The sequence below is a fragment of the Homo sapiens genome, chromosome 5 (genome assembly GCF_000001405.40).
Source record: "Homo sapiens chromosome 5, GRCh38.p14 Primary Assembly".
Lineage (NCBI taxonomy): Eukaryota > Metazoa > Chordata > Mammalia > Primates > Hominidae > Homo > Homo sapiens.
Genome location: NC_000005.10, coordinates 76,879,610 through 76,892,516, shown reverse-complemented (window position 1 = coordinate 76,892,516; position 12,907 = coordinate 76,879,610). Strand labels below are relative to the sequence as shown.

The 12,907-nt window shown below is 46.3% G+C and overlaps 1 protein-coding gene across 8 annotated transcripts in view, besides 1 other annotated feature; it reads right to left on the bottom strand.

Moving 5' to 3' along the window:
* Positions 1-12,907, bottom strand: part of S100Z (S100 calcium binding protein Z) — a 102,940-nt gene that overhangs the window by 60,437 nt on the left and 29,596 nt on the right. The gene's annotated exons all lie outside the window — the stretch shown is intronic.
* Positions 3,371-3,871: an enhancer, noted in NCBI's record as "H3K4me1 hESC enhancer chr5:76184471-76184971 (GRCh37/hg19 assembly coordinates)". NCBI's record gives its function as "activates a minimal SCP1, AML or CMV promoter by ChIP-STARR-seq in naive H9 embryonic stem cells {active_cell/tissue: H9 hESC(naive)}" and the evidence as "EXISTENCE:reporter gene assay evidence [ECO:0000049][PMID:30033119]".

Genomic DNA, 12,907 nt, shown 5'->3' with positions numbered 1-12,907 from the left:
TAAACCTCTAAAGTAGTTGAGACTCACCTCATTTTCTTCGGTTTTACACCATCATAATAAATGTTCTTTGAGAACACATTGTTTAATGAGTTCCCCTTGAAAAGGACCTTTTGAGAAAGCTGGAGAAGTCAAGAGAAATATAATCATGTGGAAGTGCCCCCACTTTTCCTGTGGCAAGCAGCTGGCAGACATCTTTGGTAGGGACCAATTTGAAAGAGTAGGATGGTCTACAACCATACCATCCTACCGATCTCATCTGAAAGAGTAGGATGCATAAAACTCTTGTTCTGCCAAGTCTGGGCTGGACCAGAGATGTTTACTGTATCACCATTACCATCATCATCACCATGGTTACCACCTATTGAGCACTTCATGTGTTCTGGGTGCTTGCTATCTTATTTTAACAATCAGAGTTCCAGTTCTCCACATTGAAGGTACATAATAATAACCTGGTGTGCTTGCTGTAAGTGCAGGTTCTTACCCTTCCTCCTCCTTCATTCTGAATCATTCGGACTAGGTTGGAAAAACTGCAAATCCTAATGTTTGATAAGTACCCTTAGTTGGCTCTGATGCAGGTGAGCCACTGTATTTGAGACATGCTAGAAAATGAGGCTTAAAGAAATTAAATAAGTTGCCCAAGACCTTTACTCTGAGATGGTCTGGTGACATCCTTTCCCTCCCCCTCCTCCCTCTCCCAGGCCCCTAATGCATGTTCTTCCTTGGTGTCTCCCACCTCTCTCCTCTTCCCCTGCACCCTCTGTCTATCTACTGTTCTTGTGTTGTCTGATTTTTTCCAAAGAAAGTATGCCCCAGCAAGAATTACTCTACAGGTGCCAGTGTTTCCAAACGACTCCTCCATACTTCCATTCAAACCCCTTCCTCTTCATCCTAGAGTCTAGACCATCTCTATTGGCACCATCAGCAACACCTGGGAGTTTGTTAGGAATGCAGAATCTCAGGCTCCACCCCGACTTACTGAAGCTGAGTCAGATTTCCAGGTGATTCACATGCACATCAAAGTTGAAGCAGCTGCCGTCCTAGACAGTTCTCAGTCAGATGTTGATCTGATTATTTGGTTGAAGCAATTCACCATAAAAGCAATAATTTTCAACCCTGGTTGAATTTAGAATCCCCTGATGCCCTTTAAAAAATGCTGATGCCTGGGCCCCATCCCTAGACTAATTGAATTGGAATCTGAATGAGGTGGAGTTTATTCATCTATATTTTAAAAAATACCACAGGTAAGTGTAACGTAAAGTAAGGACTCAAACCTACTGCTTTTAAGATGTAAAATTTTTAGGAGGATATTTAGAAACATAAACACAACTGCTTTAATTTAAAGGAAGAAACTGGGGGCCGGGCATGGTGGCTCACGCCTGTAATCCCAGCACTTTTGGGAGCCCAAGGCGGGCAGATCACCTAAGGTCAGGAGTTCAAGACTAGCCTTGCCAACATGGTAAAGCCCCATCTCTACTAAAAATACAAAAATTAGCCAGGCGTGGTGGTGCATGCCTGTAATCCCAGCTACTCAAGAGGCTGAAGCAGGAGAATTGCTTGAACCCAGAGGCGAAGGTTGCAGTGAGCCGAGACTGTGCCATTGCACTCCAGCCTGGGTAACAGAGCAAGACTCTGTCTCAAAAAAGTAAATAAATAAAAGAAGAAACTGAAAAATCCTATAATGGCTTCCCATAATATGGAGGATAAATTTCAAATTTCTCACATTAGCACCCAAGGCCTTTTCTGATTCTGAATCCTGTTCACCTCTCTAGCTCCATCTCATGCCCTTGGACACCCCACACCCTAGGGATGCCACAAACAGAACTTGCATTCTCCCAAACAAATCCTGTTTTTGTTTGTTTGTTTGTTTTTGAGACCGGGTCTTACTCTGTCACCCAGGCTAGTGTGGTGGCACAATCATAGATTACTGCAGCCTCAAACCCCTGGGCTCAAGCAATCATCCAGCCTCAGACTTCCAGGCAGCTGGGACTTTAGGTGCACGTCACCACATCAGCAGATCCTGTTGTTTCATACCCGTGTGATTTGGGTATGAAATCATATTCTCTTTTTTAATAATCTTCCTCCATTTCTTTGCCTTATCAAAGACTTGACTCAAGCCTCTGCCTCTGGGAAGCCTTCCTTGTTTCCACTATCTTTGGGGGAAAAAGAAATATATATTTTCAAAATTAAATTTTAGGCTGGGCATAGTGGCTCACACCTGTAATCCCAGCATTTTGGGAGGCCAAGGTGGGTGGACTCCCTGAGGTCAGGAGTTCAAGACCAGCCTGGCCAACATGGTGAAACCCCATCTCTACTAAAAATATAAAAATTAGCCAGGCATGGTTGTATGCACCTGTAGTCCCAGCTACTCAGGAGGCTGAGACAGGAGAATAACCTGAACCTGGGAGGCAGAGGTTGCAGTGAGCCGAGATTGTGCCACTGCACTCCAGCCTGGGTGACAGAGCGAGACTCCATCTAGAAAAACAAAACAAAATTAAATTAAATTTTAAGGTTTTGTTTTGTTTAAGCTTTCTCACTATTGGCATTGTCAGTCACATCTCAAACCCAGGGTCTCAAGCAAGCCTAGGCTTTTGTCTCCATAAGCTGCTCTATCTAATAACCACAATGAGAAAATGTTAAACATTAGCTGCTCATTCAGAGATGGTCCTTGAATTTTAAACTTCAAATTTATTTAAACTCCAGCAAATGCAAAGGCCAGTGCCCCCGGGCATAAGAAACAACCAATTTTGCCTTCTACAAAATTGTGTGTTCCTAACATGAGGAAAAGAAAGCCTCTCCTTTACTGGAAAAGAGCTTTTGGTACATCATGTAATTCTTACTTATTTGAAATCTAATTTGAAACAGAGATTGCTTTTCCCCACTTTTAATCGATTTTTAGAAATGCCATGAAATTAACATTGTTTTTCCATTTATTTCTCTGTGTTAATAATGTCTATCCTGGACTAGAAGGTGAAGAAAATTCTGGATTTACTTTTCATGTTTTAGTGACTCACTTTAGAATATGTAAACTTTGCAGTAAATTAAAATGAAAAGCTTAAAGGCCCCTGCGAAATGTCGAGATCTTCTCTTGCATGAGTAGTATATTAACTTGTAAAAAACAAACTTAAACACATCCAACATATGTGTTCAATTTTTAAAAAATTTTTTCTTCTAAATGATACGGCTTCAATGAGCGGACGAACACCAGGGCTCTTGTCTTACGTTGAATTAGATAAAACAACACAGACATACGTGAAGTGGTTTTAAGGAGCAGAGAGTTTAATAGGCAAGAAGGGGCAAGAAAGAAGGGAGAAGGAAGCTCGCCTGTACAGAGACAGAGGGAAGGGGGCTCCAAAGCCGAGAGAGGGAAGTCCTGCTCAGGTAATATCAGCCAGTTACATGCGATGGCTAGAGGAGGCGGTGCTTGATTTGCATAGGGCTCAGGGGCTTGGTTTGACCAGGCATGTCACTCAGGTAGCCCCAAAAACGCTGGCCCTCCCACCCTAGGCTCTTAATATGCAAATGTAGGGCACCTTAATGTTCTACACACATGGGGACATGTGGGGGTGGCCGTGTAGCCAGTCACATGTGGGGCAAGGGCAAAAAGGCGGGAGAATCACCATGTTTGGTGGACCAAGTTTCTAACAGCTGGCATTTTCATATTAAAGGTTGCCAGCCTGGCCATGTTGGGTGGACCCAGTTTCTAATGGCCTTCATTTGCATATCAGAGGTTGCTGGCCTGGCTCTAAGAGCCGGGGCTTTACAAGAAACTTTTCCAGAGATGCTTTAAAAAATGAAAACTTCCGTCAGACACGGTGGCTCACGCCTGTAATCCCAGCACTATGGCTGGGCGCGGTGGCTCACGCCTGTAATCCCAGCACTTTGGGAGGCCGAGATGGGCGGATCACAAGGTCAGGAGGTCGAGACCATCCTGGCTAACACGGTGAAACCTCGTCTCTACCAAAAATACAAAAAAATTAGCAGGGCATGGTGGCGAGTGCCTGTAGTCCCAGATACTTGGGAGGCTGAGACAGGAGAATGGCGTGAACCCGGGAGGCAGAGCTTGCAGTGAGCCGAGGTCACGCCACTGCACTCCAGCCTAGGTGACAGAGCAAGACTCTGTCTCAAAAAAAAAAAAAAAAAAAAAAAAAATACCAGCACTTTCCCAGGAAAAAAAAAAAAAAAGAAAACTTCCCAAGGACCCCTTTTCCTCTCTATCTGCCTAAAATAATTTCTTTCTTTCCTTTTTTTTTTCTTTTTTTTGAGATGGAGTCTTGCTCTGTCACCCAGGCTGGAGGGCAGTGGCATAATCTTGGCTCACTGCAACCTCTGCCTCCTGGGTTCCAGCGATTCTCCTGCCTCAGCCTCCTGAGTAGCTGGGACTACAGGCACACACTACCATGCCTAGCTAATTTTTGTATTTTTTAGTAGAGATGGGGTTTCACCATATTAACCAGGCTGGTCTTGAACTCCTGACCTCATGATCCACCCGCCTCAGCCTCTCAAAGTGCTGGGATTACAGATGTGAGCCACCGTGCCTGGCCAATAATTTCTTAATAACTCCTACAACATAACTTTTGAAAGACAGAAGTGAGTAAACACCAATGGTCTACATTTCTTCTCTTAAATGTTCTGCCCTCTAAATTCTCCCTGTCCTATCTGCTCAGAACTGGCTTAAGGGAGACAAAAATATTCTATTTAAGGGGGAAAAAAATGGCAGGTCTTAGCACTAGAAAGTCAGCAATTGGCAGATTCCTTCATTTGTTCCCTAAGCATAGATTTATTGAGCAACTTCTACCTGCCAGATTGAAAGGCTCTTCTGGGCTGGGCACAGTGGCTCGTGCCTGTAATCCCAGCACTCTGGGAGGCCGAGGCAGGTGGATCACTTGTGTTCAGGAGTTCAAGACTGGCCTGGCCAACATGGTGAGACCCCGTCTCTACTAAAAAGACAAAAGTTAGCCAGGCGTGGTGGTGTGCCTGTGATCCCAGCTACTCGGGAGGCTGAGGCATGAGAATTGCTTGAACCTGGGAGGTGGAGGTTGCAGTGAGCCAAGATAGTGCCACTGCCCTCCAGCCTGGGCACAGAGCGAGACCTCATCTCAGAAAAAAAAAAAAAAAAAAAAAGCCTGGCACAGTAGCTCATGACTGTAATCCCAGCACTTTGGGAGGCTGAAGCAGGCAGATTACAAGGTCAGGAGATCGAGACCTTTCTGGCCCCAACATGGTGAAACCCTGTCTCTACTAAAAATACAAAAATTAGCTGGGCATGATGGTGGGTGCCTGTAATCCCAGCTACTCAGGAGGCTCAGGCACGAAAATCGCTTGAACCATGGAGGCAGAGGTTGCAGTGAGCTGAGATTGCGCCACTGCACTCCAGCCTGGTGACAGAGCAAGACTCTGTCTCGAAAAAAAAAAAAAAGAAAAGAAAAGAAAGAAAGATAGGCTCTTTTGTAACCAAAACCCAACTCCTGTCAGTGTTACTGATGTTGCAGATGATCTCTTTCAGGCCTCTGAGCCCAAGCTAAGCCATCATATCCCCTGTGACCTGCACGTATACATCCAGATGGCCTGAAGCAACTGAAGATCCACAAAAGAAGTGAAAATAGCCTTAACTGATGACATTCCACCATTGTAATTTGTTTCTGCCCCACCCTAACTGATCAATGTACTTTGTAATCGCCCCAACCCTTAAGAAGGTTCTTTGCAATTCTCCCTATCCTTGAGAATGTACTTCGTGAGATCCACCCCCTGCCTGCAAAAAATTGCTCCTAACTCCACCGCCTATCCCAAAACCTATAAGAACTAATGATAATCCACCACCCTTTGCTGACTCTCTTTTTGGACTCAGCCCACCTGCACCCAGGTAATATAAACAGCCTTGTTGCTCACACAAAGCCTGTTTGGTGGTCTCTTCACACGGACATATGAGACATTTGGTGCCAAAGACCCCGGTCAGCGGGACTCCTTCAGGAGACCAGTCCCCTGTTCTTGCCCTCACTCCATGAAGAGATCCACCTACGACCTCGGGTCCTCAGACCAACCAGCCCAAGGAACATCTCACCGATTTTAAATCGGGTAAGTGGCCTCTTTTTACTCTCTTCTCCAATCTCTCTCACTATCCCTCAACCTCTTTCTCCTTTAAATCTTGGTGCCACCCTTCAATCTGTCCCTTCTCATAATTTCAATTCCTTTCATTTTCTGGTAGAGACAAAGGAGACACATTTTATCCGTGGACCCAAAACTCCGGCGCAGGTCACAGACTCGGGAAGGCAGCCTTCCCTTAGTGTTTAATCATTGCAGGTCGCCTGCCTGATTATTCACCCACGTTTCAGAGGTGTCTGACCTCACGGGGACACCTGCCTTGGTCCTTCACCCTTAGCGGCAAGCACCACTTTTCTGGGGGGCAAGCACCCCTTGACACCTTCTCTCCATGTCTCCACCCCTTCTCCACTTTCCTGGGGGGCAAGCACTCCCCACCCCTTCTCTCCGTGTCTCTACTCTCTCTTTTCTCTCCACTTTTCTGGGGGACAAGCACCCCCCACCCCTTCTCTCCATTTCTCTACTCTCTCTTTTCTCTCCACTTTCCTGGGAGGCAAGCACCCCCCACTCCTTCTCTCCATGCCTCTACTCTCTCTTTTCTCTCCACTTTTCTGGGGAACAAGCACCCCCCACCCCTTCTCTCCGTGCCTCTACTGTCTTTTCTCTCCACTTTTCTGGGGGGCAAGCAGCCCCCACCTCTTCTGTCTGTGTCTCTATCCCTTCTCCACTTTCCTGGGGGGCAAGCACCTCCCACCCCGTTCCCACTTTCCTGGGGGACAAGCACCTCCCACCCCATTCCCACTTTCCTGGGGGGCAAGCACCTCCCACCCCGTTCCCACTTTCCTGGGGGGCAAGCACCTCCCACCCCATTCCCACTTTCCTGGGGGACAAGCACCTCCCAACCCGTTCCTACTTTCCTGGGGGGCAAGCACCTCCCACCCCGTTCCCACTTTCCTGGGGGACAAGCACCTCCCAACCCGTTCCTACTTTCCTGGGGGGCAAGCACCTCCCACCCCGTTCCCACTTTCCTGGGGACAAGCACCTCCCACCCTGTTCCCACTTTCCTGGGGGGCAAGCACCTCCCACCTCATTCCCACTTTCCTGGGAGATAAGCACCTCCCACCCCGTTTCAACTTTCCTGGGGGGCAAGCACCTCCCACCCCTTCTCCACTTTCCTGGGGGGCAAGCACCCCCTACCCCTTCTCTCCATGTCTCTACCCTTCTCTTTAAACTTGCCTCCTTCACTATGGGCAACCTTCTACCCTCCATTCCTCCTTCTCCCTTAGCCTGTGTCCTCAAGAACTTAAAACCTCTTCAACTCTCGCCTGACCTAAAACTTAAACGCCTTATTTTCTTCTGCAATACTGCTTGACCCCAATACAAGCTCGACAATGGTTCTAAATGGCCAGAAAACGGCACTTATGATTTCTCCATCCTATGAGATCTAGACAATTTTTGTCAAAAAATGGGCAAATGGTCTGAGGTGCCTGACGTCCAGGCATTCTTTTACACATTGGTTCCTCCCTAGTCTCTGCTCCCAGTGAGACTCGTCCCAAATCTTTCTTCTTTCTCTCCTGTCTGTTCCTTCAGTCTCCACCCCAAGCTCTTGAGTCCTTTGAATCCTTCTTTTCTACGGACTCATCTGACCTCTCCCCTTCTCCCCAGGCTGCTCCTCGCCAGGCCAAGCCAGGTCCCAATTCTTCCTCAGCCTCTGCTTCCGCACCCTATAATCCTTCTATCACCTCCCCTCCTCACACCCAGTCTGGTTTACAGTTTTGTTCCGTGACTAGTCCTCCCCCACTTGCCCAACTATTTCCTCTTAAAGACGTGGCTGGAGCTGAAGGCATAGTCAACGTTAATGCTCCTTTTTCCTCTATCAGACCTTTCCCAAATCAGCCAGCGTTTAGGCTCTTTCTCATCAGACCCCACTAAATATATACAGGAATTCCGATATCTAACTCTGTCCTACAATTTAACCTGGAGTGACTTAAATGTCATCCTGACTTCTACCCTCTCCCCGGATGAATGGGAAAGAGTTTTTTCTCCAGCCCAATCTCACACTGATAACCACTGGCTTCATGAGCCAGACCTCCAGGAAGGCATTAGAGCAGTTCCCCGAGAAGATCCCAATGGAACTATCAGGCAGATTCCCCAGGTATAGCTAGGCGAGATTACATGGTTTCCTGCCTAGTTAAAGGGCTTAAAAAGGCAGCTTACAAAGCTGTTATGACAAACTTAAAGAAACTACCCGAGGTAAAGACGAAAGCCCAGCCCAGTTCATGGCCCTCTTAGCAGCAACCCTGAGACACTTTACTGCCCTAGACCCAGAGGGGCCAGAAGGCCGTCTTAATCTCAATATGCATTTTATTTTATTAACCAATTTGCTCCCAACATTAAATAAAGCTCCAAAAATTAAATTCGGCCCTCGAACCCCACAACAGGACTTAATTAACCTCGCTTCAAGGTGTACAATAATAGAGTAGAGGCAGCCAAGTAGCAATGTATTTCTGAGTTGCAATTCCTTGCCTCCACTGTGAGACAAACCCCAGCCACATCTCCAGCACACAAGAACTCCAAACACCTGAACCGCCACTGCCAGGGGTTCCTCCAGAAACTCCTTCCCCAGGAGCTTGCTACAAGTGCTGGAAATCTGGCCACTGGGCCAAGCAATGCCCGCAGCCTGGGACTCCTCCTAAGCCATGTCCCATCTGTGCGGGACCCCAGTGGAAATCGGACTGTCCAACTCACCTGGCAGCCACTCCCGGAGCCCCTGGAACTCTGGCCCAAGGCTCTCTGACTGACTCATTCCCAGATATTCTCAGCTTAGTGGCTAAAGACTGACGCTGCCTGATCACCTCGGAAGCCCCCTGGACCATCACAGACCCTTTGGGTAACTCTTACAGTGGAGGGTAAGTCCGTCTCCTTCTTAATCAATAAGGAGGCTACCAACTCCACATTACCTTCTTTTCAAAGGCCTGTTTCCCTTGCCTCCATAACTGTTGTTGGTATTGACGGCCAGGCTTCTAAACCTCTTAAAACTCCCCAACTCTGGTGCCAACTTGGACAATATTCTTTTATGCACTCATTTTAGTTATCCCCACCTGCCCAGCTCTCTTATTAGGTCGAGACATTTTAACTAAATTATCTGCTTCCCTGACTATTCCTAGGCTACAAGCACACCTCATTGCCACCCTTTTCCCCAGTTCAAAGCCTCCTTTGCATCCTCCTCTCGTATCCCCCTACCTTAACCCACAAGTATGGGATACCTCTACTCCCTCCTTGGTGACAAATGATGCACCCCTTACCATCCCATTAAAACCTAATCACCCTTACCCCACTCAATGCCAATATCCCATCCCACAGCATGCTTTAAAAGGATTAAAGCCTGTTATCACTTGCCTGTTACAGCATGGCCTTTTAAAGCCTGTAAACTCTCCCTACAATTCCCCCATTTTACCTGTCCTAAAACAAGACAAGCCTTACCTTAGTTCAGGATCTGCGCCTTATCAACCAAATTGTCTTGCCTATCCACCCCATGGTGCCAAACCCATATACTCTCCTATCCTCAATACCACCCTCCACAACCCCTCCATAACCCCTTATTCTGTTCTGGATCTCAAACATGCTTTCTTTACTATTCCTTGCACCCTTCATCCTAGACTCTCTTTGCTTTCACTTGGACTGACCCTGACACCCATTAGACTCACAAATTACCTGGGCTGTACTGCCACAAGGCTTCACGGACAGCCCCCATTACTTCAGTCAAGCCCAAATTTCTTCCTCATCCATTACCTATCTCGACATAATTCTTCATGAAAATACACATGCTCTCCCTGCTGATCACGTCTGACTAATCTCCCAAACCCCAATGCCTTCTACAAAACAACAACTCCTTTCCTTCCTGGGCATGGTTGGATACTTTTGCCTTTGGATACTGGTTTTGCCATCCTAACAAAACCATTATATAAACTCACAAAAGGAAACCTAGCTGACCCCACAGATCCTAAATCCTTTTGCCACTCCTTTCCGTTCCTTAAAAACAGCCCTAGAAGCTGCCCCCACACTAGCTCTCCCTAACTCATCCCAATCCTTTTTCATTACACACAGCCAAAGTGCAGGGCTGTGCAGTCGGAATTTTTACACAAGAGCTGGGACTGCGCCCTGTAGCCTTTTTATCCAAACAACTTGACCTTACTGTTTTAGCCTAGCCTTCATGTCTGTGTGCAGTGGCTGCCGCTGCCTTAATACTTTTAGAGGCCCTCAAAATCACAAACTGTGCTCAACTCACTCTCTATAGTTCTCATAACTTCCAAAATCTATTTTCTTCCTCACACCTGACGCATATAATTTCTGCCCCCCTCCACTACCTCTCAGCAAGCCAAACTCATTGTCTTAACTCAAGCCCTCACTCTTGCAAAGGGACTACGCGTCAATATTTATACTGACTGTAAATATGCCTTCCATATCCTGCACCACCATGCTGTTATAAGGGCTGAAAGAGGTTTCCTCACTATGCAAGGGTCCTCCATCATTAATGCCTCTTTAATAAAAACTCTTCTCAAGGCCGCTTTACTTCCAAAGGAAGCTGAAGTCATTCACTGCAAAGGCCATCAAAAGGCATAAGATGCCATCACTCAGGGCAATGCTTATGCTGACAAGGTAGCTAAAAAAGCAGCTAGAGTTCCAACTTCTAACCCTCATGGCAGTTTTTCTCCTTCTCATCTGGTCATTCTCACCTATTCCCCCACTGAAACTTCCACCTATCAATCTCTTCCCACACAAGGCAAATGGTTCTTGGACCAAGGAAAATATCTCCTTCCAGCCTCACAAGCCCATTCTAGTCTATCGTCATTTCATAACCTCTTCCATGTAGGTTACAAGCAGCTAGCCCGCCTCTTAGAACTTCTCATTTCCTTTCCATCATGGAAATCTGTCCTTAAGGAAATCACTTCTCAGTGTTCCATCTGCTATTCTACTACTACTCCTCAGGGATTGTTCAGGCTGCCTCCCTTCCCTACACATCAAGCTCGGGGATTTGCCCCCGCCCAGGACTGGCAAATTGACTTTACTCACATGCCTCAAATCAGGAAACTAAAATACCTCTTGGTCTGGGTAGACACTTTCACTGGGTGGGTAGAGGCCTTTCCCACAGGGTCTGAGAAGGCCACCGTGGTAATTTCTTCCCTTCTGTCAAACATAATTCCTTGGTTTGGCCTTCCCACTTCTATACAGTCCAATAACAGACCGGCCTTTATTAGTCAAATCACCCAAGCAGTTTCTCAGGCTCTTGGTATTTAGTGGCTCCAGGTTTTACCTCAAACTGCCACCCTTAAGTCTCTCTTTAAGTGGATAGAAGTTCTTCAGTGACAAAGTACACTCCAATACTTTCACCCTGATGAAGTCCTATTCTTTACTTTTATACTTGCTCTTATTCTTGTCCCCATTTTTATGCCACTCTCTACCTCTCCCCAGCTATCTCCACCACACTATATCAGTCTCAGTCACTCTCTCCTAGCCATTTCTAATCCTTCTTTAACAAACAATTGCTGGCTTTGCTTTTCTCTTTCCTCCAAAATTCCCGAGGCCCTGACTAAAAAAGGGGTACTCTTGTATATTTTTAAATGAAGAAAAAAAGGGGACTCTGTATATTTTTAAATGAAGAGTGTTGTTTTTACCTAAATCAATCTGGCCTGGTATATGACAACATAAAAAAACTCAAGGATAGCACCCAAAAACTCAACAACCAAGCAAATAATTATGCTGAACTCCCTTGGACACTCTGTAATTGGATGTCCTGGGTACTCCCAATTCTTAGTCCTTTAATATCTGTTTTTCTCCTTCTCTTATTTGGACCTTGTGTCTTTCATTTAGTTTCTCAATTCATACAAAACCGCATCCAGGCCATCACCAATCATTCTATACGACAAATGTTTCTTCTAACAACCCCACAATATCACCCCTTACCACAAAATCTTCCTTCAGCTTAATCTCACCCACTCTAGGTTCCCACGTCACCCCTAATCCTGCTCGAAGCAGCCCTGAGAAACATCACCCATTATCTCTCCATACCACCCCCAAAAACTTTCGCCACCCCAACACTTCACCACTATTTTGTTTTATTTTTCTTATTAATATAAGAAGACAGGAATGTCAGGCCTCTGAGCCCAAGCTAAGCCATCATATCCCATGTGACCTGCACATATACATCCAGATGGCCTGAAGTAACTGAAGATCCACAAAAGAAGTGAAAATAGCCTTAACTCATGACATTCCACCATTGTAATTTGTTTCTGTCCCACCCTAACTGATCAATGTACTTTGTAATCTCCCCCACCCTTAAGAAAGTTCTTTGCAATTCTCCCCATCCTTGAGAATGTACTTTGTGAGATCCACCCTCTGCCCGCAAAACATTGCTCCTAACTCCACCACCTATCCCAAAACCTATAAGAACTAATGATAATCCGCCACCCTTTGCTGACTCTCTTTTCGGACTCAGCCCACCTGCACCCAGGTGAAATAAACAGCCATGTTGTTCACACAAAGCCTGTCTGGGGGTCTCTTCACACAGATGCGTGAGACAACCTCCACCTTCCCAAATCTAGTGGTCAAGTCTTCGTTCTCATCCTACTTCACCTCTGAATGGATTTCTCTCTTTCCTTCTCCACGTGCTGTCTTCTCTAGGCTTCTGAGACACTACACTCTCCTGGTTTTCCTTCTTTCTCCCTGGCCATGCCTCTTTTGTATCACTTATGGGCTCTTCCTTTTCTTTACAGCAAACTGTCAGACGTTTCTTCTTCTCTATCCACATTCTCATCCGGAGTGACCTCCTCTAATCCTGTGGCTTAAGATCACAAATGACTCCCAACTCTAT